The sequence below is a fragment of the Homo sapiens genome, chromosome 9, assembly GCF_000001405.40.
Source record: "Homo sapiens chromosome 9, GRCh38.p14 Primary Assembly".
NCBI lineage: Eukaryota > Metazoa > Chordata > Mammalia > Primates > Hominidae > Homo > Homo sapiens.
The window spans coordinates 101,466,910-101,491,102 of record NC_000009.12 but is presented as its reverse complement, the minus strand read 5'-3'; the positions used below and the strand labels follow the sequence as shown (position 1 = coordinate 101,491,102).

At 42.3% G+C, this 24,193-nt stretch overlaps 1 protein-coding gene and 1 long non-coding RNA gene across 9 annotated transcripts in view; one reads left to right on the top strand and one right to left on the bottom strand.

Annotated features, from left to right (window-relative positions):
* Positions 1-17,933, top strand: part of PGAP4 (post-GPI attachment to proteins GalNAc transferase 4) — a 60,517-nt gene extending 42,584 nt beyond the window's left edge. The window contains exons 1-3 of one of the 5 annotated variants that reach the window (NM_001303107.2): positions 3,930-4,154; positions 10,378-10,432; positions 13,934-17,933. In NM_001303107.2, coding sequence (NP_001290036.1) covers positions 14,011-15,222 — 1,212 coding nt within the window. In that variant the 5' untranslated portion in view covers positions 3,930-4,154; positions 10,378-10,432; positions 13,934-14,010 and the 3' untranslated portion in view covers positions 15,223-17,933. Of the gene's footprint in view, positions 1-1,902; positions 1,990-3,929; positions 4,155-4,332; positions 4,536-4,634; positions 4,848-10,377; positions 10,433-13,933 lie in introns of those variants that run through there. The other 4 variants (XM_024447701.2, NM_032342.3, NM_001303108.2 and 1 more) reach the window with 4 other exon arrangements.
* Positions 9,597-22,664, bottom strand: TMEM246-AS1 (TMEM246 antisense RNA 1). Of its 4 annotated transcripts, NR_121573.1 has the most exons (4): positions 22,495-22,664; positions 16,061-16,227; positions 11,180-11,263; positions 9,597-9,740 (listed from the first exon to the last, which is right to left on the bottom strand). It is a non-coding gene; the product is annotated as a TMEM246 antisense RNA 1 (long non-coding RNA). The 4 variants fall into 4 exon arrangements; NR_121576.1 differs by lacking the exon at positions 16,061-16,227; NR_121574.1 differs by lacking the exons at positions 16,061-16,227; positions 22,495-22,664 and adding an exon at positions 21,483-21,781.
* Between the last annotated feature and the right edge of the window lie 1,529 nt (positions 22,665-24,193).

The following is a 24,193-nucleotide window of genomic DNA, read 5'->3' as shown; positions in this document are numbered from 1 at the left end:
AATATCTTTGGAATTCAGTGGTCTTACCATGGATCCCATCAAACAGAAGAAGCTGGTATTATTAAATGGTGTAATGGTCTTCTGAAGGCTCAGTTATGACACCAGCTGTGAGACAGCACCATGAGAAGTTGAGGTGCTATCCTCAAGAATGCAGCACGTTCCTTAAACCAATAGCCAACGTGTGGCATAATTTGCCGATAGCGAGAATTCAGACATCCAGGAAGCAAAGATATATTCTTCTCACTATTACAGCAAAAAACTTACTACAGAGATATTTTTTTCTTCCAAGCCCCACAAACTTAGCAGGTTTGGAAACTCTCATATCCAAAGAAGAAGTACTTCCACCAGGGAATTCACAGCCTATTGAGCTGGAAACTGGAACAAGAAAAGAAAGGCACCACTATATAGCCTTAAGTAATTGATTACAATACCAATGGGAAATTAGTTGCTGCTATACAATCAAATCAAGGAGGACTATATCTAGAACCTAGAAGTTCATTAACAAGTCCATGTGAGTACACACATATCCAATAGTCCTGATCAGTGGAAAACTGAAGGAACTCAGTAACAAGAGATGCACCAAGAACCTAAATCTTGTAGGATCAAAGGTTTGGGCTGAGCGCAGTGGCTCACGCCTGTAATCCCAGCACTTTGGGAGGCTGAGGCGGGCAGATCACTTCAGGTCAGGAGTTTGAGACCAGCCTGGCCAAAATGGTGAAACCCCAGCTCTACTAAAAATACAAAAATTAGCTGGGCATGGTGGTATGTGCCTGTAATCCCAGCTACTCGGGAGGCTGAGGCATGAGAATTGCTGGAACTTGGGAAGTGAAGGTTGCAGTGAGCTGAGATTGCATCACTGCACTCCAGCCTCGGCGACAGACTGAGACTGTGTCTCAAAAAATAAAGTAAAAAAATAAAATAAAATAAAAAAGTTTGTAAAGAGCCTTTACAAAGAGCCTTGTAGGAGGCCTCTGTAAAGAGCCTTATACAGTGAAGTGCTGGCAGAAAGGGGAATGTGCAATGGGTAGTGGAAGAAGAAAGCTATGATTCTCAACTTAAATTTCATGACCAACCATAGAAGTAGGGATTCTAACAGTTATGTTTCGTATTGTTTGTCCTCCATCCCCACTCTTCCCATTAGGAAGGGTAATAGTAACGATTAATATTTTATGTCTCAGGTATATGTTCAAATTCAATTACTCTATTATGACACCATAGTTACTGGAACTTTTTTTATGTGTCCCAAAAGGTTTGTTCAATTTTTATATGAACAAAGTACAAGAGAAGATGTTCAGAGTAAGAAGACTTTACTGGATATCTTCTGTTTATGCCTCCTGGTCATCCAGTCAGCTCTGTGTCCTGGGAATTTGAGCTACATGGATTGCATCAAGGGCTCTCTTGCCCTCTGATTTCTGGTTGGGTTCAGCCAATGGGAGACACTAGCAGGAGATAAGATGGCAGAAGAAAGTAGAGTTATGCTATTTATTCTCCTGGCTCTTTCCCTGATGGGTCACCATAGGTTCACTGCCTCATTCCATTAGTGACAGGTCCCATAGGATGTCTCCCTTTTTACAATTATTCTTTTGTTGTTTTAATCACTGTTTCCTTACTTTGCTCATCAGGCCTAGGATAAGTAATAGTTCCTTGGTATCAAGCCCTAGGGTATGCACTGCACTATGCCTTATTGGTTTTCTTTAATTTCACCCACACCTTTGAAAATAGATTTTTTTCATTATCCTGTTGTAGTGTGTTATTTCTGGCCAAAGCCTAACCAATGAAATACCCTACTTGCATAGAGGTTAAGATGTTTACTATAATAATTGTAATAGTACCCACTACTAGTGTCTAACCTCTTATTTTATTATTCTTCTTTTTTTTCTATTTTTGCTTTGCTTTGAGAAGAAATATAGCATGTTGATTAAGAGAATGGACTCTGAAGCCGGATTTCATCAGTTTGGATTTTGGCTTTTCCTCTTTCTAGCAGTTTGGGTAAGTTACTTAGCTTACCTGTCTCATGGGGTTGTTGGAGTGATTAAGAGTTAGTAAAAAGCACTCAGGACAGTAACAGCCATAGAAAGTACTAGGGAAGTGTTTGATCTTACTATTTAAAATATTTATCAATACCTGATATAGTATGCATTTATTTGCTTATTATCTATTGTCCACCCAAATGTAAGCTCCCTAAAGGCAGAGACTTGGTTTTGTTCATAGCTGAATCCTTACTCTCTAGAAAAGCACTATCTCATAGAACTTTCTGTGATGATGGGATGTTCTATAGCTGTACTATCTAATACAGTAGCACTAACCACATGTAGGTACTGAGCATTTCAAATGTGGCTAGTGCTACTGAGGGACTGATTATTACATTTTATTTAATTTTAATTAATTAAAATGTAAGTAGTTACATGTGACTAGTGACCATGAGATTGGACAGCACAGACATTGCCTGGAACATCATAATAGGTACTCAATGAATTTTTGTTAAACAAGTGAATAACTACCAACCATTTATAGAAAGCTAGATATTTTGACAGGTAGAATGCTAAGCACTTTATATACATTATCTCATGTAAACCTCTCAACAAACCTATGAGGGAAATATCACTGTCCCCAATATATAGATGAGAACATTGAGGCACAGAGGAGTTAATTTGTCATAGCCAGTAAATAGATTAGACCCCAGCACTGAGCCAATGACAGTGAACTGAATTCAACTTGTGTTGGTTACAATCCTCCAATTTCGGAATATCAGACTCCCATTTTTTCTCCCAGGAAATGAAACTACCTTCCCAAGCTCCCTTTCTGTGCTATATCCAGCTCTCATACTTTCCAGCCTCAGATATAGGTTTTCCAGCATTCCTAATGACAAATTCCTTGAGTGAAGGATCCACACCTCATTCTTACTTCATTGTCATCTATAGTGATGGCAGTATGTCAGAACCATTCTTCAGTAAATGCTGGCTGAAAGAGTAGATGATGAATGGGGGCTCAGGTGGGTGTTTGTAAGGTTCTAAAGGAAGTTAATATCTAGTATCAATTTTACTTACACAAGAAGAAATCATATGAGCATTTACTGGCTTTAATGCTTTATCTTGTGACCACTGAACAGACCTTTTAGAGCAGGTGTTGGCAAATCAGGCAGTAAATATTTTAGGTTTTGTGGGTCATAAGGTCTCTGTCACAACTATCCAACTCTGCTGTTCTTTCATGGTAGCAGCCATAGACAATATGTAAATGATGACTATGTTGCAGTAAAACTTTGTTTACGATCATCAAATTTTGAATTCATATAATTTTCGTAGCCCTGAAATATTCTTCCATTTTTAACCATGAAATATTGCAAAAAACATTCTTAGCTTGTGGGCTGTACAAGAACAGGCAGCAAACTGTAGTTGCTAACCTGTGGCCTAGACAGGCAAACCTAGGATTAGAAGCACTGAGTAAGGCCGTACAATTGTGTGCTGAAAACCCATTCAGAAGGGAAAGTCCAAGGTGGAATGTAGGAGGCTGTTACTTTTCTTTTGACCCCCACATTTTTCCTCCCTCGGATCATTCCGTATCTTTTTCCTATTTGCTTTGCCGGGATTGTTCTCAATCAATGTGCATACTTTCTCATACCTCAGGCGTTATGTCTCTCGTGGCCGTTTGTGTTTAAATTGAGGGTTTGGGGAAGACTGAAAAACATTCAAGACCCAAAGTAACAGCTTTCTCATGAAGCGTTTACACGCATTGAGAGATATCGTTCCATTGGTGTGAATAAGTCTCTATGTACACACCTGATGAAATATAATGCTGGCTTCTAGTCCCCTCACAAAAGAAACAGGCTTCCTGTTTGCGTGACTTGGGGGCGACTCCTGCTTTTCCCTGGCTGCCCATCAGTTGGCGCCTTTTGCCGTCCTTTTTCCCCAAGCCGCTTTGGGGGCCGCGGTCTCTCCGCAGCTCGCGGGTCACATGGCCCGCCTGAGCAAGGGGAGCCCTGCGCCTGAGCTGCGAGGCGGGAGGAGGTGAGGCTCCGGCGCACACCCAAACCGCGCTGCGCCCGCTCCTTCCGGGCCCCGGAGATGGCGCCTCCACCGGGATGAGCTAGCCAGCCTGGGCAATACCAGAGGCGGCCCTCGGCGCGCGCAGGGGACCGAGCTGGTCGCCCCAACCGGGTAGGTTTCTGTTGCGCACGATCTGCCCAGCCCTTCTGGCGCGGTGGTCGGAGCCCTGGACACTAGAGCGAGGGGACAAGGATTAGGGGTGGCCACAGCTGGCACAAGCAGGGCAGCTGGGGGTTGGGGAGAGTCATCGCAGAGGGCCTGTGCCCCGGGCAGTGCGCCTCGGGCAGGCGGGTTGCCTAGCGGCCCTGCCCGCAGCTCCGACCGCTTCCTGCCGGAGGATTGCGAGGACCCCGCAGGGGTCCCCAGGGCAGCAGGGGCCCGCATCAGTGCGGGGATGGTTGAGTGTCTCGGGGGCGCCTCCCTGGCCCTTGCCTGCGCCAGCTGCGCTGACAGGTCAATAGAAGGACGCGAGCGGGGCGCGTGCCAGTCTGGGTAAGACCCTCGCCGAGCCTAGCAGGGCCGAAGCGCCAAGGGGCCTGGCGCCTAATGGCCGCCCGCAAGCAGGGGACCCTCGCGGCGCGTCCACACCTTAGGTTCGCCGGGCGCGCCGAGAGCGCGGCAGCAGTGTTGGGTTTCTGCGGGCGACCTCGCAGCCAAGGGCTGGGGGAGGGCGACTGGGCAGAGGAAGGCGTCCCTCCCAGGACCAGGAAAAACCAGCAGAAGGGAAGGAGCGCAGCGATGGAGACGGTCAGCTCGGCCTACGGGTGGGAAACTGAGGCTCAAGCGTGGCAGGGACTGCCCAAGGTCAGCGACAGACACTAGATCCAGGGCCCTGGACATCGTCCCCCATTCTTTTTCCAAGAGGGAGGGTTAATTAGATCCACCTGGGTGTGTCTCGCCCTCTTTCTGGCCCTTGGCTCCGGCGTCGCTAGTGTCGCACTGCGCTCGCGGTGTCTTGGGGCGTGAGCTCCTGCAGGGTCGTTGTGACCCGCATCCTCTGCTCGGCCCAGGCTCTCTCCGGGGGACCGCAGGGCGGCTCCAATGATGATCTCACCATGCGGACCATTAGCAACACATGCGGGTGTGTGTGCGCGTGCATGTGTGTGTTTCTCCTTCTATAGGGGAAATAGCTTTTTTTTTTAGGGGTGAATTTCTAGAATGCACTGCACTAGGTACTTTATGAGGTGAGAAGAGAAAATCAACATTATTAGAATTATTAGAATGTTGTAAGGATACACATATTAGAAAACATCCAGTAAACAAAAATCCAAAGGAGAAGCAAAATAAAAATAACTTAAAACTTCAACTTCTAGATGGTTTAGATTTTCTGCATATCTTAAAATTTTCTCTATGTATACACATTTGAAGTTTTAAATCAAAAGCGTGGACCAAAAAATGGTATCTTGTCTTAATTTGCATGTCTTTGATTACCCATGGGAATTAACACTTTTTCCTCTGTGTAGTAGCCTTTTGCATTTCTGTAGGTGAGTTGATTGTTAATTCTTCTGCCCATTTTTCAGTTGGAGTATCTTTCTCCTCCTGACTTTTAAACACTTTATGTGTATTACACATTGAAGTAGTAATTCTTTGTCACGTGTTGCACTATAGCGAGTATTTTCTGTTAATTTTTACTAGTTCTAATTCCAAATGATCTTTTGGATACTTTGGTCAATTTTTTATTTTGATGGTTATATGGGCGTATAAATTTGACAAAACTCATCGAAATATATATATATTTAAGTGGTGCATTGTACTGTATGTAAACTGCACCTCAATAAAATTAATTTTTAAAGGCCTAGAAAATTATCATCCTGGGTAATGAGAGAGAATTTGCCTAGTCAGATATTAAAACCTGTTATAAAGCTTTCATAATGAAAATAACATGGCCCTGGCACCACAATGCAGAGAGAGATAGATGCCAAAATCCACAAACAGATATATATATACATCATTTAATTTATTATAGCTATAGCAACTTAAATCACAAATTTAAAAATGGACTTAACAGGTGCCCTGACTGTCATGTTCACCTTCCCAGTGTCTAACACAAGACTCAGTGTTGAATCAAATGCTTAATTATGATTATAAAAGTAATGATCTTTGCAGAAGTGTAGATATCAAAACAGGAAATTGCCATCCCCATACCCTTCTTTTCTCCTTCACTAAATTATACTCCACATTAAAAATAAAATGGTCATATCTCTGTACATTTTTCTGTAATTTGCACTGATATAGTTTGCATTTCTCCCTTCTGGTCTTAGTCTACTTGAGCTGCTGTAACACATTCTCAAAGACTAGGTGGCTTAAACAACAGACACATTTATCTCTCAAAATTCTGAAAGCTGGAAGTTCCAGATCAGGGTGCCAGCATGGTCAAGTTTTGGTGAGGGCTCTCTTTCCGGTTTACATGTGAGAAAGCAGAGAAGAGAAGTGATCTCTCCTGTCTTTTCTTATAAGGACACTAATAAAGAACATGCATTACTGAGGTCTGCACCCTTATGACCTGATTACCTTCCAAAGACCCCATCTCCAAATACCATCATATTGGAGATTAGGATTTATAACACGAATTTTGGCTGGGCAGGAGGAGGACAAACATTCAGTCCAAAGCACAAACCTAGCTAAGATTTCTTTTATGTCAACATATTTAAACCTTTCTCTTCTTAACATTTCCACAGCATACCCTTTTATGATTCTCTAAAAATCTGTTCCCTTTGCTAGGCATTTCATTTGCCTGCAGTTCTTCCTTTCTTCCTTCCACCCTCCCACCCTCTTCCTCACTCTCTCCTTCTCTCTTTCTGTCTTCTTTCCTTTTTCTTCCTTCCTTCCTTTCTTCCCTTTCTCCCTTTGTTCCTCTGCCCCTCTTTCTCTTTTTCTTCCTACTGCATACAAAACAGCACTCAACATTTCTTATCCATCTTTGGTAGCATGTGTTGGCATTTCTGCAGAGTAGATTCCTAGAAGTAGGATCGTTATGTCAAAGGGGATGCACTTATAAAATTTTTATAGATACTGCCCCAACACCCCAACATTTCCTCCAAAGATTGCACCAATTTATATTAAAGTGCCTAGTTGTTGAACTGTGACACTCCCTCGAAGTAAATTAAATTCAGATGTTAAATATAGAGATTAATTATGGAGAAAGGGAGCTCTATTACCAAGTCTTTCCACCTAAGCATTATTTTTCTGTTTATTAATGACTTTTTAATTACCCTTTGGTAGAATTTTGTAGTATGTGTGTATATTCTGCATATTTCTGAAATTTATTTCTAGATATTTGAGTTGCTTATTTTTTTCCCTTTTGACTGGGATCTTTTACTCCCTTAGTTCATTGGTGATCATGTACATGAAAGCAGTCATTATAATATAGATAATATAGATACAGATATGGATATGTAATGCATATATATAGTACATGTGTATATATACTTGCTATGTATATTATATATTATTTTTACATATTAATTCTGGTACCAACCATGTTTTGAGTCTATTGCCATTTCTAATGGTTTTTCAGTTGATTTTCCTGGGCTCCAAATTTATGTAGGCAGTAGTGCATATTGGTTGAGAATGTGGGTTCTGGACACAGTCTGCCTGGGTTCAAGTTTTGCCACCCTGCTTAAAAACTTAGTTTTCTAAAGTATAAAATGGGCTTAATAGTCATACTTCTTGGAGGCTTTTTATGAGGATCGATAGATGAGATGCTTAGAACAGTGCCTGGCACATAAGTGTTCTGGAAACATTTACAAATAAGTCGATCTCTACACAGTATATGACCAGCTCTTTGATACTACCAATTTTATAGCTGAGGACCTGAGACCCATAGAGGTCAAAAGAAGCCAATTATTTGCTTAACAAGCATTGAGCATCTTCTATGCATAGTTCTGTGCTGGGTCTGTGAGGGATACCAAAGATAAATCAGACTGAATCTACTAAAAAAGGATTCAAGAGTCCAATCAGATCGTAAGTCAAGGACCATAAACAAGGCCATGGAAGACAACAGGCATCATAGAAAAACATGAGCTTTGAAATTTATCCTTGTCCTTGAATTTCCTCTTGCAACTTGGTAGCATCAGTTTTGTCAACTAAATGGGATTAATTCCATTGCTATTTTGAGAGTTGCTATTTTGTTCAGAAGAAATAGATGCAAGGGTCTAGCACAACATTGGGATATGTAGTATGGCCTTAATAAGCGGTAGCTATAAATAGATGAGTCTGAAGTAGAAAGTGACAAATGAATGCCCTGGAGGAAAAGTTCATAGAAAGGGCCCCAGTACTTGAGGGGAAAAAAAGAGATTCTTTCTGGTTGGAAAGGTCAGGGTTGGGTTTTGGAAGAGGTACCTTTTGAGCTAATTCTTGATGGTTGAGTTAGACAGTGTGAGGAGCAAAAATGCAGCTGGGAAGATAGTTGGAACTGGATTGTGAAGAATCTTGGCAAATAATTTGGACTTTATTCTACAGTCATGGGGGAATCATTGAATAGTTTTACAGAAAAGAGTGCCATGTTCTGACTTATGCTTCAGAGTATCAGATGGATGCTGATCAAGTAAAACATCACCATCATTTGCACAGTGTCCTATGCCTGACAAAGGGCTATCATAGCTGTTGTCTCTTCATCGTCACAGTCTCACTGTGTTGCCAGGCTGGAGTGCAGTGGCATAATCTGGCTCACTGCAACCTCCGACTACCTGGTTCAAGCGATTCTCCTGCCTCAGCCTCCTGAGTAGCTGGGATTACAGGCACGTGCCACCACACCCAGCTAATTATTGTATTTTTAGTAGAGATGGCGTTTCACCATGTTTGCCAGGATGGTCTCGATCTCCTGACCTCGTGATCCGCCTGCCTCGGCGTCCCAAAGTGGTGGGATTACCGGTGTGAGCCACCGCGCCTGGTTGAAGTATCTTTTATTTTCCTGTTTCACAGAGAAATAAAATAGGCTCAGAGAGATAAATGATTTTTTTATACAAATTGATCAAATTAGTGAGTGTTGGGACGAGAATTGGACCTAGATCTTTTGGCTTGTGTTGCTCATTCTGGAGGTCAGAAGCTCTGTTAGGAGCCTGTTGCAATCAGCTGGCTTGGAGGTGCTGAGGAGGAACTAGAGTGTGGCAGGGAGGAAAGCTTGACAAGGGGAAGGCGAGGGGAAAAGAGAGGCATAATAAAAGAGGCCGTAGAGGTGGGATTAGGAAGTGACTGCGTGGAGGTGAGAAGTTAGAACTAACTAGTGTTTTAGACTGAGTTGCCTGGGAAAGTGGTCGTGCCATTCATATAGTGGATTTGGGAAACACAGAACATTCTTGAGCACTCATCCCCTGACTCACACCCTGGTATTGTGTCTTCCACACCCGTGGATCCTTTAGTTTAATTTTCAGAAGTTGCACTAAAATATAACTATTGTTGTAGCTCCATTTATTCATCTAAGCCCTAGTTCATGTTCATTTCTCAGAGTCTGTGTCCTTTACTGTCTTCCCTGAGCCCTACACTCTAGATATGGTAACAGGTAGAGAATTCTGTTTAGGGAAGGGTTGTGTTTCAAAGAGCACATGCAAAGCATAGATAAGAACTGGATATGTATTGTTCTGTAGAATCGGAGCTGTAATGGTGTAACTGTTATTAGGTCAGCTCATAGGTGCCAGTCAGTCCACAGTGTCTCTGGAGTGTGGGCCTCAGCCTGTGACATCATGGGCAACTGGAATTCTGGAAAAAGACAATCAGAGTGGTAACATAGACATAGCCCTCTTGTCTCACCCTTATGATTGGGCTGGGAGTAAAAAAACTCCTTCCCCAAACTAGCAGTGAAAAATCCTATGTTTTTATATCTGTTCCCCTAAGGCCATTTATCTTTTATCTTTTTTTGTTTGTGTGTTTGTTTGTTTTTGTTTGAGACAGGGTTTTTCTCTGTCAACCAGGCTGGAGTGCGGTGGTGCGATCACAGCTCACTGCGGCCTCGACCTGCTGGGGCTCAGGCAATCCTCCTGCCTCAGCCTACTGAGTAGCTAGGACTACAGGAACATGCTACCATGCCTGGCTAATTTTTGTATCTTTTGTTGAGACTAGGTTTTGCCATGTTGCCCAGGCTGGTCTCAATCTCCTGGGCTCAAGCCATCCACCTGCCTCAGCCTCCTAAAGTGCTGGGATTACAGGCTTCAGGCACCACATCCAGCTGGCCATTCTTCTTAAAACCAGATCAGTAAGGTGAAATAAATTATAGGTGCCATTGGACACCACAGGCTACTGTGCAACAATTGGTTAAATCTTTTAAAAAAATGTTTTAAAAAGTAAACAAGAACATACTCCTGAATGACTACATAACTCCATGTGGTTGGATTTTCAGCAAAGCAGTCATCTAATCTTGAATGAAGGATCTGATCCCAGCTCCTGTGTCCTAGGTGGGTGTGGTAGATTGCATTAATGTTCAAAATGCCCCTCCCTGGAGTACATTTTCTGCCCCTCCCTGGAATACAAATATTTCTCCAGTCATTGGTCTCAGGTGTGGCCATGTATCTTTTGGCACTCCCTTCTGCTCTGTTGAATTTGAGTTATTATGTGATTTGTTCCAGTCAGTGAAATGTGGGTGGAAGTGATCTGTGTCACTTTTGAGCAGTGGCTTTGAGAGCCAGCTTGTGGTGCACTATTCCCCTTTTTTCTCTCTACCACAAAACCAGCAATGTTAAAAACAAACAAACAAACAAACAACAACAACAACAAAAAACAGTTCTATCTGCCTGGGTCCTAGAGTACAAACAACAGGCAACAGAGGCACAATTGACCTGTAAAGGACAAGTACTATGAACAAGAATTAAACCTTAGTTCTTATAAGCCACTGAGATTTTGGGGATCATTACTGAAGCCTGTCCTTATTCGTGTAGTGTGTAATGATTGGGGTTGGGGGCCGGGTCTTAAGCCCTGTAAGCATTCTAAAAAAAATTTCCATACTCCGTGAGCAGATTGCTAGATGCTTTCTTTTCTCCTGAGGATTTAGAAATTGGCCTGTTGCCTTTTTTTTTTCTATTGAATCTTCATTTTCCCCTCCTTCTGCTCTGTGGGAGGAGTAAATCTTCCTGTCCCATTGTTTTGGCCAATGAATGATGAGTGGACTTGATTTGTGGCACACTGAAACAAGGATGTAAATGTACCTGCATGTTTTGACTTGGCCTCTTGTGCAGCTTCCAGGCAACGTAAGAACACGCCCCAGGTGGCTGTTTCCTCTGCAGCTTGATCTAGAAGGAGGGGCATGTGGCATGAGCTAATTCTGACCTACATTCTGGAGCTGACCCCAACTGAGCCACAGCTATCCACAAACCCGTATGCAAGAAATACATGTTATCACTTTAAGTTATAAAGATTTGAGGCTGTTAATCACCCCAGCAAAGCTGATCAATATAGGTAGGGACCATGTGTCCTCTGAACCAAATCCCTCTCTTTTCCTGATTGTCAGTAGAACAGCAGTCTCACAGACGTAGTTTTAAAGTAAAGGACTATGTGAGATGTTAATGATTTTATTGTCCCCAGTAGGATAAATTCCCTGGGACCAAAGGTTCTCCTGATGTCAGTTCTAGGTGTTTCCATTTCTTTCCCCCCTGACATATCATAGTAAGTGATAGCCTTTACTATGTGCCTGGCATTTTCCAAACTGCCTGCCCTATCTCATTGTCTCTAGTTCCCTCCTCTAGATTGATCCAGCTCCCTTGTGGTAATAACAAAGGCAGGGATAATAGTATGAGCAGAAATCCACTCGAATGCCTCCTTTTCCAAGGCCAATACTGCAGGAGTGGGAGTTCAGCCCAATTCTAGTATTGGCTTCCATCAGCAGTGATGTGGAAGTGGTGAGGCCACGTTCAATCACGTTCAACCACATGGTTTGTTAACTCCATTGCGCTGAGCAGAGCAGAGGAAGAAGCAACCAGTCTGCAATATGCTGGATGTTCACAAACCAGCAAGACTGGGGTTGCATAATTCAAACCTCTCCTTGCTTTGTTCCCTCTTTGGGTACTATCCAGATCTCTTAGTACTAGGATAGTCTGTCTCACCTTTGGAGTCCCATAGTACAATCTGCTTCTGTGGCTGAAATGAAACTTGTTTCTCTACTTGAGAAATTAACCATGTCACTGTACATTTGGTATTCTACACAACTGTAGAGGGCAGAGTAGGCTAACTGCTGTAATAAAGTCCAAAAATTATTGGTGTCTAGACACAGTGGTTTATGTATTGCTCACAACACAGTCCACTCTAGTTTGGGAGGGTACTGGGAGGTGGGCAGCGGAAGGGACATCTGTTCCATGCCGTCCCAACACTGGGATATGTATGTAAAGGATTCAAGGACCCAGGCTTCTGCCATCTGGTGGCTGTACCTCCTCTAGATCCACCAGGGCTCTCCATTCAGCTGGCAGATGGGGAAAGAGAAAGTCGAGATGGCACATCTGTTCTCAACTACCTTGTCCCAGGTGTGACACCTGTCACTTTGCTGACAAGCCCTAGTCACATGACTCCACCTGGAGAAGGCAAACTAGGAAATGAGGTCTTTCTGTGTGCCCAAGGGGAGACCATGGATATGAGAGCACTGGCTGAGTCTGCTCCACAGCAGCCTCGTATGGTTCCTGGGCAATCCTCCCTTTGCAATAACTCACAAACTATACAGTTTTCCTCCAAATGTGTGTAAACCTTATGATGCGTCTGAGGCAACAGATTTACTTTCTGTACTGCAGACACCATTTAGTTTTGCATTGACCTTACTAGCAATTATTATTTTATACTGGCTTTGCCCTTTTCATTCTGTTTTTTGGCACTAGTCTGTTTTCCATCAGAATATTAGACCTGCTTACTTCTAAAATATTTTTGTGAGTTTGAACACATGGATAGATTTTAATGGCATTTTTACTCTGCATTATTTTGCTTTCTAACACATTTAATATTCACAGTAACCCTATGAGACAGATATTATTATTTCCATTTTAGAGCTAAGAAATATAAGATATGGAGAGGTAAACTTCCCACCAAATGAGAGGCAGAGCTAGGATTCACACCAATATGAGCCTGGCCTCAGGCCCATGCTCTGAATCATCATATCACACAGCATTTTTTCCTGGACCAAACTGAGGGCAACTGTCTCTTCCATATTCACCTCTGCCTTTCCCCCCCCGCTCCCTCATTGAAAAGCTACTCATGGATCTTCCTCCAGATGTTTCCTCCCTCCCCAAGCCTGGGGCTCTAGAGTTTGCTTGCTTATGGGAAATACTTCCTCTCATTGGTTCCCATGATCTATAAAAATAAAATGGGAGAACAATCAGGATTAAATTAATATGCAATGTTAAGTATAGTTGTGTGAGATTAGAAGCATATGAATGGAAAATGACATTAAATAACAAAGATACTTCAGAGAATCCTAAGTATTCCTTCTCTTGTTGGACAAGTTTTTTTTGGAAATTGCTATATGCACAGTTAATCAACAAGTATTTTCTGGGCCCTTATTCTGGAACTTGCTCTAAATGTGTATATTTCCTTTGTGCCAAGCCTTGCTTTTTTGCCCCCGTTTTAAGAACCCATTGTCTGTGTAGCTGGTGAATAGAAATAATGATCCCAACAGCCTACCTGGAGATTTTCTGGCATTGTAAACCTAACTAAGTATCTTTAGGCGTGATGATTTGGTTGAATGCACCGAGATCGTATTACTCATAGAAATAATAAAAACATCCAGAGGTTGTTAGCAGACACAACCAAAGAATGGTTTACTGTAGAAAATACTTTAGAGTCTGTAGAAGCTACAGAGCCTCCTATTATAATTTCTGGTTTGATATGTGCTGAGCTCAGTTCTTGTCCTTTTGTTTTTTTGTTTGTTTGTTTGTTTGTTTTTTTAAGTTACTCTTACCATTCCCTACTTCCTCTCTCTTTAGGTTTGATTTCTGATGACTCTGGCCTGAGTTCCAGGATGGTTTTTTCTTGGGACCAGACATGAACAAAAGTTGACCTCATGAGCACTTCAACCTCTCCAGCTGCCATGCTCCTCCGGAGGCTGCGGCGACTCTCCTGGGGCAGCACTGCTGTCCAGCTCTTCATCCTAACAGTGGTGACGTTTGGCCTGCTGGCCCCCCTGGCCTGTCACCGACTTCTACACTCTTACTTCTATCTGCGCCATTGGCATCTGAACCAAATGAGCCAAGAGTTCCTGCAGCAAAGCTTGAAAGAGGGTGAGGCTGCCCTCCACTATTTTGAGGAGCTTCCCTCTGCCAATGGCTCAGTGCCCATTGTCTGGCAGGCCACCCCCCGGCCCTGGCTGGTGATCACCATCATCACTGTGGACAGGCAGCCTGGCTTCCACTACGTCCTGCAGGTTGTGTCCCAGTTCCACCGGCTTCTTCAGCAATGTGGCCCCCAGTGCGAGGGGCACCAACTCTTCCTGTGCAACGTGGAGCGTAGTGTGAGCCATTTTGATGCCAAGTTGCTCTCCAAGTATGTCCCTGTGGCCAATCGCTATGAGGGCACTGAGGATGATTATGGTGATGACCCTTCGACCAACTCGTTTGAGAAAGAGAAGCAGGACTATGTCTATTGCCTGGAGTCATCCCTGCAGACCTACAACCCAGACTACGTCCTGATGGTAGAAGACGATGCTGTACCAGAAGAGCAGATCTTCCCAGTCTTGGAGCACCTTCTGCGGGCTCGCTTCTCTGAGCCACATCTCAGAGATGCCCTTTATCTCAAGCTGTATCACCCCGAGAGGCTCCAGCACTACATCAATCCAGAGCCCATGCGGATCCTGGAATGGGTTGGTGTAGGCATGTTGCTGGGGCCCTTACTAACCTGGATATACATGAGGTTTGCCAGCCGCCCAGGGTTTAGCTGGCCTGTAATGCTCTTCTTCTCCCTGTATAGCATGGGTCTGGTGGAGCTGGTGGGTCGGCACTATTTCCTGGAACTGCGGCGGCTGAGTCCTTCCCTGTACAGTGTGGTTCCTGCCTCTCAGTGTTGCACCCCAGCCATGCTCTTCCCGGCACCTGCGGCCCGCCGGACCCTCACCTACCTGTCCCAAGTGTACTGCCACAAGGGCTTTGGCAAGGACATGGCACTGTACTCGCTGTTGAGGGCCAAGGGAGAGAGGGCCTATGTAGTGGAGCCGAACCTCGTGAAACACATCGGGCTCTTCTCCAGTCTCCGGTACAACTTTCATCCCAGTCTCCTCTAGGGTGCCAAGAGATGCCTTTCTGAAGTTGGCCACTTCTTGAAGATTCAAATATTTATCTCTTTATTTAGACATGGTTGCCTGCAGGTATTTCACTGTTTACTGTTGTTAGAGATATAGGCACTGGGGCAGCTGAGGAACCTCAATATGTTAAGAGCCTTGGCTTTGGTAGCCTCCTGGCAGGAGCAGCAGTTTGCCACAGGTCCGGACCTCTCCCTCCACACAGCCACACTGCCTCATGCAGTCTGACCCACCCAGTGAGGGTGCATTTGAACACTGATTATATTCTCCATTTGTTTTTAAGCTCTGCTTTGTGTTAGAGCTTGTGACTGCCAAAAATTTTGTGCACAGTGATATGACTGTTTTAGGATCTTAAGGGTAGAATTTTGTGAAAGGTGAGATCCTTTGGAATTGAGTTCTTTCTCATTGGGTATGAAAATGGATGTATGTTTAGAATATATGCCCAACGAGGCAGGACCATGTGGATAGATTCCATTTGTTTCCTTGACCTGATGTAATAAAAACTGATAAAAGCCGTGCAGTGCCCGGCATCTTGGAGGCAGGTGATCTGGCTTTTCTGTTACCTGGGATTTTCTTTTCCTATATATCTGTAGTGCACTGATAATTGATATTGTTAGTGAGAACTTTAAGGCACGACAAGATCTGGAAGAGCTTGTGAACCATCAAAGTCAGATTGCTTATGTTGAGTAGTGATTTAACATTGAACATTTCTGTACTACTCTGACTCTTTGAAAATTGGACATTTCAGAATGATACAATATAGGGGAGCTCTTTACAAGTAGCATATCATTTTTCCTGACTTTCCTGGCTGACTGCTTACCTTCATTTCTTTTTCTTCTAGGTAGCATGATGTTATAGAAAAAAAAAAAAAAAAATCATGGACTGAAGTCAGAAGACCTGACCTTTTATTTCAGATCTCTGCCATGGCCTAACGACGTGACCACCTTGGGCAGGTCATATAATCACTCTGGGTCTCAATTTCTTCACCTGTAAAATGAGGACAGTAATACTTACATGTTAAAGTTGCCTTGAGGATTAAATGGCAGAATATATGTAAAACACCTAGCAAGTGCTTAGTCCATAGAAGACGCTTGGCAAACTTTTCTCTCCTATAATAAACATATACAACTCAAGCTTATTTCGGAAAAAGATATTGGTGATGTTGTTTAAAGTATGAGATAGGGCATGGAGCTGCCACCTATGTACCAGCTATTCCAGATGACCAAGCCCTGCTAGAATAAAGACTGACTTTTCATTGTGACCTCTGAAGGATGTGCAGCTCAGCTTTCACCTATCCCCACGTTCACCCAAGCCAAAAAGAAGAATTGTTCATTCAAACTGGAAATGATCTCCAGCTTGGAAATGAGACTCCTCATGAGCTTATTCTAAGATCAGAGTCTGAAAATTATTTTCTCAAAAGTTACAAATAAATGTCTTTTAACAGTACTGTCAGACTAGTGACCAACAAGTTACTTTATGAGGATGGATGATGATATTAGAGTTCAAGCAATTGTCCAGTTTGTTTCGATGCCACAGTTTGCTTTTAAATTCCCATAGTGAGCTTCCATCTTGAGACCCACTCAACACAGAAGGATTACATAAAGGTTGATCACCCACGCTCTACAGATGAACAAATTGAGACCCAGAGATGCTAAACTGCTCTGCAGGTCACAAACCTGAACAGCAGCATAGCCAAAATGGGAACGGAGCTCTTCTGACTTCAAGCCCCTGCACTTTTTTCTTAACCACATTAATTTTATGAATATCTATGTGGTCAAAGTCTCTTTTGTAAAATCTGAGTATAAGCTGAACTAGATCATGTCTCTGTAAGCTAAGATGGCAGAAACACATTGTCATGTTAGTTTGGAGGAGCAAACAGATATAAGTATGTGTTGTAATGTTATAGTGAGCTGTTATGTATCCCCCAGCAATGTCCAAAGTGATCAGAGCTACTAGATGACTTATTACAATGTTCAGATCCCACTCCTTCATTCCTCCTCTCTCAGTGACCTGTCTACCCCCAAGCTTTAGAACTGAGCTCTCTCCAACTTAGAACTCATTAGAGTTTGTTGCATTAGTGATTGGATCTCCTCATGAAAGTTTTTTGACCAATGACAGTAGAGCCCCTTTAAGCTAGCCAGGCCCAAGATAGGGAAGCACTGCTGGTTTACATTTCTGCTCTTTCTAATTCAGTTGTCTATTGCATGCAGACATCCCCTGCCCGACTTCTCCATTATGGAAGGCTAAGGCCATCCTTCCTTGTCCAGTTTCTCTACCTACACACTAACATGCCTTTTCCCCATGGAGTGAACTCTGCCAGTTGTCTTTGGACATTTTCTGCAGATGCAGGCTCAGTTCTGCTCTTTTGTTCCCACCCACTTCTAGATCTTCCTCCATTTAATCCCTTATTCTTATAAGGAGTCTAATTTTTGTGTATTGTCCTTGATTAGGGCAGCTGACAGCTTTACACCAAAGCTGAAGTCTCTCACTTAATCCTAAGCAAGGGGCTAGGGAGAACTAAGATATCCTTCCCATATCAAGGGATATAGGTTACTAGAAGGGTGGAGGTCTCTTAACAGGCTCACTCACCTTTCAGAGTTTAAATTATGGTCAGGCTTAAGAAGCTCTCTCTTGTGACTGAGTGTATTGCATAGACATGTCTGTGAAAATAAAAGCACCCATTTTGCTAAGGCTTTCTGAGAAGACTTTTATCATTCTCTGTCTTTCCTTTTCATGAATGGATTTTTCTGATGTGGCAAATAGTATGGGCTCCCTGCGCCCACACACAGTTTTGTAGTCCCAAGGGAGCCATTCAGAAGTATTGGCTGCTGCCTGCACAAGCAACCATGGCCACAGATCCCTGGGTCACAGCAATGTCAGAGCATTTATCCATCTTTTTCTGGGTAAAAAAAGTGGGGGTCACTGCTACCACCCAGATCATCTTACCTCTCACTGGTATACCCCTGGTACAATGTGGTGATCATTCCTTCACTCTTTCCTGCCTCTTGCCCTAAAAGTCTTAGAATAAGTTGCAGAGCTGCCATGGGTGGTATTCCTGTCTAGTGCTCCATTGGCCACCCCAAGAACATGCAGCAACACCTGTAGGCTGAAAGAGAAAACCCAGCCTTCCCCTGAGAGAAACACGCAGAGATCCCTCACACCCATCCTCCCCCCACTCCCAACACACACACTGAAAACAAAACCACTAACAACAACAAAGTAAAAAACAGCTGTGTGTAGTGATGGAAAGACTTCCTCTTAGCACTTGCCATTCCCTCTGCTTGGAATGCATGTAAAAAACTTTTTTATAGGGGCTAAAATTGTACACTATAACCAATTCTCAGTCCCTAGACCCCATTCTTTGTTCCTCTTCTTCCTGATTTTCTTCCCTAGTCCATTTCTTTTTGTCCAGTATTCCTTTTGTTCATAGGCAGTTCCACTGTGAGTCCTGTACTCTTTCTCATTCATTCATGGCTCACTGTGTGTCATGTTCTATTCTAGGTGTTGGGGATATAGCAGTGAACGAAACAGAAGACCCCTGACACTGAGGAGCTCATGTTCTATGGGGAAGGTGAAGTGGAAAAAAACTCAAAAGAATAAATAAGGGAATTTCAAGAGGTTTGAAGGAAATCTAACTAGGTAATGTGATTGCGGGACCTAGGGATAGGGAAGGGCATAGACTGCTTTAGATAGGATGGGAAATCTCTTAGGGGAGATTAAAATTGAACTAAGACCTGAATTACATGGAAAAATTTAGTCAAAGGAAAAGCATTCCAGAGAGAGAGCATGGCAGTGCAAAGCCTTGCAGAAAGAACCAGTGTAGAAAGTCCAAGGATGAAAGAAAGCCAGTGTAGCTAGAGCCTGAAGAATGAGGATGGGAGTGGAAGATGTGAAGGTAAGTTTGCAGGGGCCAGATCATATCAGGCCTGGAAGATGATATAGCTGTTTAAAGTTTATTCTAAATGCAATGAGAAGCCAGCTCCTAGCAAGATAATAAATTGCTTTTCCAGAACGTTAACTGTCCATTATTTAGTTCCTTTGCATTCTCCATAGGCTGGTCTTATAAAGGTTCTGTGACAGTAGGGAATCCATTAAAGATCTATTACATAAGGGAATGTGGGACATGCAAAAGCAGAAGACAAATGTAGAAACCCTCTGCTTCACTTGGCATTTCTGTCCTTCATCTTTCTGATATTTTAAAGCTACTGTGTTCCTACATACATATGCTATCTGTTCCTTCATTCTTTTTGATAAATTCATCATTTGCCTTTACATTTTCATCGTTTTTACCCCCAAATGGTTAATGTAGGTGTTTTTTTTTTTTTTGGAATCATTTTATTCTTTCGTATTTCTGTGTCAGTCGCTAGGAGAAAGACCAGGAAAATCTGTTAAACTCTAAACCAAAAATTCCCATTCACTGCAGAGTGATGATTCGCAACACTGCTGCAATTCAGGTAGTGGGGTGTCCTGAAGTGACAACACATCACCACTGCAGTCCTAATAAATTAAGTCTTTTTGTTTTGTTTTGTTTTGTTTTTTGGTCTGCTAGCTTTAGTAAATTTCCAACCATCTTTGACATAGTGCCAAAGATTTTCCAAATAGTATCCAACCTAGAAAACAGTTTCAGTTAATAAGCATTTTTCAGCAAATTCTATTATAGTTGGGATAAAAATATCCAGTGGCTTAAAATTACCCAATTTTACATCATGTGGTGCTGTAACTCAAGAGTGCATCGTACTTTATGTAAAAATCCCACAGTAATCAACTCCAATTAAAGTGCCTCTCCACCTAAATTAAATTACCAGTTAAATAAATTCTCCCGAATGAGGAGTGTATCTAAGGTAAATCAGATTAGTTCTATCAAACTTGTATTCTGCAGTCGCACTGTAATATTCTCACCATTTTTCTTCAGACAACAACAAGAATGCACAATACAAATATTTCCATTAAAGAAACAACAAAATCAGTTATCAATTTTTAAGCAAACAGCTGTAATCTAATTCCCCATTGTGGTTGTTTTTTTTTTTTTTTTTCTGCAAACGTTGGCTGCCATTTAATTTTGGAAAAGAAATACACAGAATTTTCAGTTTTCCTATTAGGCATGTTACTCACAGAGTTGGGATTCAATGTTTCTAGCTTTACCCGAAGCAGGGCAAAATTTCTGATTAACCAGTTTTCAAGTCAACCAGTCTGTGTAGATTTATTTCCAGGAATGTGTTTGTGCAATGCCTCTTGTCCTTCTCAACCATACCCTTCTCCAGCCCCAGTGTATCCAGAATCCATGGCCAATTTGAGTTCAGCAAAAATTTGGCTTCCATTTAGCTCCCCCTCCAAATAAGTTTATAAAAGAGGAGGCAGGATTTCATCTCCTTTCTGGATTGTACACATAGAATACATCTAAATTTTTAAGCTATATATTGTAAAAAATGGTGTGTGTCTGTATCACATTCAAAATCTAGTTCATGTATTATTCTGCAAGGAAATACATCAAACAAATTAATCATGAGTAAACCTAAATTTAGCAGTTTATCCTTATCTTAATGAATACCTAAATCCTGTTTGTGATATTGACTCAAACGACTCAAGCTTTCTCCTTTTTAATCTCGTTGAACCTTTAGCTGAAACGCCCCAATCTGCAGAAACACATTTCCATGTTTGAATCAGGAAAGGCTTGGAAGAGATTAGAATGACATTATATTTCATTTTACCAGTTAATACCACAGGAAGAACTATTTCAGCCAAACTAACCCTTTCTTGTCACACTTAAACATTAACCTCAACCCTAAGGTAGACACATACTAAAATTCAGAATTGCATCCCTGGAGGCCTTTAGGACAAATTAATTTTTGTTCTGTAAAAGGCACCACGTGTCATGTTTCATATCAATTTACATTTATTGAGTGCCTACTGAGTGACAGGTGCTGTGCTCAGTGCTGGAGACTCAAAGGTGAGTGAATAAGACATGCTTTCTTCCTTTCAGAACCATGGCCCCCAGTGAGGGAGTTAGCAACATGATGTAAGTCCTGAGATGGGAGGATCACACAGTGCTGTCTGTAAATTGCCCCAAAGCACTGAGACTCTAAGTTATCCCAACTTCCTTAACTTCTCTGCAACCTCTTTTGCTGAGGACAACATGATCCAACAAAAATGTCTCCTACTAACAAAGAGAATGTTTGACACAAACACTTATTTTCAGAAACAATTGTTTCCCAAAGCACTTGGCTTGTCCAAAGATGACTTACCTTGTTGGCAGCCCCTTGCCATACCTGTCTCAAAAAACAAATCAAGCTGAACCCAGTTTCATTGTCCACCCCTCCTTGCTGACAGAAGCTTGCTGATCTGCAAATGGAGAGAGGACTGGGAAGGTCACAACTTGTCCTTGCTCCCTCAAGGTAAGTGTCATCCCTTAAAGCTTGCCTGCTGCCTCATTGCCTTTCCCAAGTCTTGTGCCAAGTTGGTGCTTCTCATATCATAACTTCACTATAGCTGATTGCGAGTTGGATCTGGTCTCCTGGAGTTCCTCTCACAGAATGACTAGAGCTCACCCATCACATGATGTGAGAGTGCCCTTCTTTGAACCCTGAAGAGTTTTTAACCGAAGACCACATATTTCTTCCACCTGTTCTTGTCAGTGTTTCCATAGGGAACCACAGGCCTGAAAAGACACATTCCTTACTTTTAAAAATTAATTTGTTTAGACAACCCACACTGGTATTGGTCAGAGTCCTCAGACTGGCTCTGAGGATAGCTGACTAAGCTGCTGCTCCAAAATGCTGGAATATGTCATAATTCACAACCATTGTTCATAACTGTTTGACTACCCTAAACCTTACCTTCAAGGATTCTCTTATCTGAATGAACTAAGCAGAATAAACCGAACAATAAGAGTAGGGCTTGAAATCCAATTCTTAACTAATTAGAAAGCATGTATGGGCTAAGAGTTTCTTACCCCTTGCCAGGAGGGAAATGGGGAAATTTGATTTATATGTGAAAATTCTGCTTTTCAGCTTTCACTTGCCAAAGATAGGACAACTCAAATGAAAAGAAAAAATGGTGTTATCCATTTATTTTCCCAAAAGAGATGTTTGCAATGCTTTTTTACATTCTCTTCATACATGGGCAGAGTTTGTGCTGTAAATTTTGCAAGTTGGTTTCAGTGCAAGAGACAGTTACAGCATTAGGATGCATTCAGTGGCAAGTAACAGAATCTAGTCTCCCAGGGGCTTAAGCAATGATGACATTTAATTTTCTCACCTGGCAAGAGGTCTGGAGAAGGCAGTTGCAGCAGTGCAATGAAGTCATCTAGGACCCAGATTCTGTCTGCTCTTCTGTTCTGCCATCTTTTGCCACCTCAGCTACTGCAGCTTCAAATATCGTGTCCTCACAGAGCTGCATTCAATGGGAGTAGGAAGGGGCTGGGATAAAAAGCTTTCTCTTGTAAAGTTCTTTTGTTGTTGTTTTGTTTGTTTCCCTCCTTCCAGGAAGAGCAGTTTCAGGAAGTCTCCCAGCAGACCTCTCCTTTTGCTTCATAGGGCCAGAAATAGGCCACATGCCCACTCCTAGACCAATCACAGGCAAAGGAAAACAGAACAAGCCCAGTTGCAATTAATTCTCTTGGGGCTTGGATAGGGGCCCATCTTCTATGATCTCACTGGCTCCCTACCCACCATCTAAACAAGATGGGGCTTTTGTTGGCTAGGAAGAAGAGGCACATAGATAGCTCTTGGGTAAAATGTGAACAGCAACTGCCCTGTTGCTGGGGGAAGTGATCAAGATTTTTAATATCCTTTCTGCTCATGCCATTTTATTTAGAAATTGAAGTAACATGGAGATTTATTTTAATATAGTCATATAGTTAAGTTAGGCACATTACTGAAAATATATTCTAGCTGCTACAAGATTAATTGTTTGAAGATATCAAAGGGCTTTGAGAGGCATAGCTTCTTAGATTCCTGGCGGCCCATTAGATTGCATTTTCTTTCTCATACGATAGGACATCTGAACAGCTGAACATGAAACATCATGGAAACAATAAGATCATTGTTGCTACTTTCAAGGAAATACAGATAATCAAATTCAGATTGGACATGGGATTGACCAGATAGCAACGGAAGCTTGTGCTTATTTTCAACCTATTGTGGAATTGTCTTGAATTGATGATTTGGGGCCCATGAAGAGCTTTTTATTTTTTTGAAAATAAATTCACAATTTTAGAAAGTAGTCATATGGATTTTGATGTATAGTATAAACCATGCTGTAAATTTCTGAAGCTCTTTTTGGCATGCAAATGTTAATACATCTGCATCAGAAAGTATTTTCCTGTCTGTATTCAGTTTCAAGAAGAAAAACCATGATAATGAAATTAAATTATTTTCTCCAAAAAAACACAGTATCCCAGAAAAGATATAGGGGGGTCTGACATGAATCCCAGGAGATCCTGAAATTTCTAGAGATTTGAGCAATGTGTGACCCTTTACTCTTCAAGAAAGGAATAAGGATGAAGACAGGAACTAAAATCATTCCTGCCAACTAGAAACAGAATTGTGACCTCTCCCTAATGAAATCGATCCCACAGCTCAGTTAGCACCTAAAGACACCATGTGTCGCCAGTCTTTGGATGTAAGCAGTCATGTTAAGATTAAATAATGCAGAGTTTCCTTTGTTGATAACACTCTTTCTCAAGCCCCAAAAGTCCTACTAAATATTTCTGGGAGTCTGCAAAAAGCTACCTTACATGTATGTATGCACAAAGAAGTCTGCTAGCTGCAGTCATTACAGAGCATCGATTTTATCTTTCCTTTCCTGTTCTGGCTCCACACTGCCTTGCAAAGTAACTGGAAAGGCCTCTCTTTTACCCCCACTTATAGTAGCTATTTTGAAACCACCAGTGCCTATGCCAGGGGTACTATTTTTTAATGCTTCCCCAAATATCAGTTCTCCAGGCTGTGGTAGA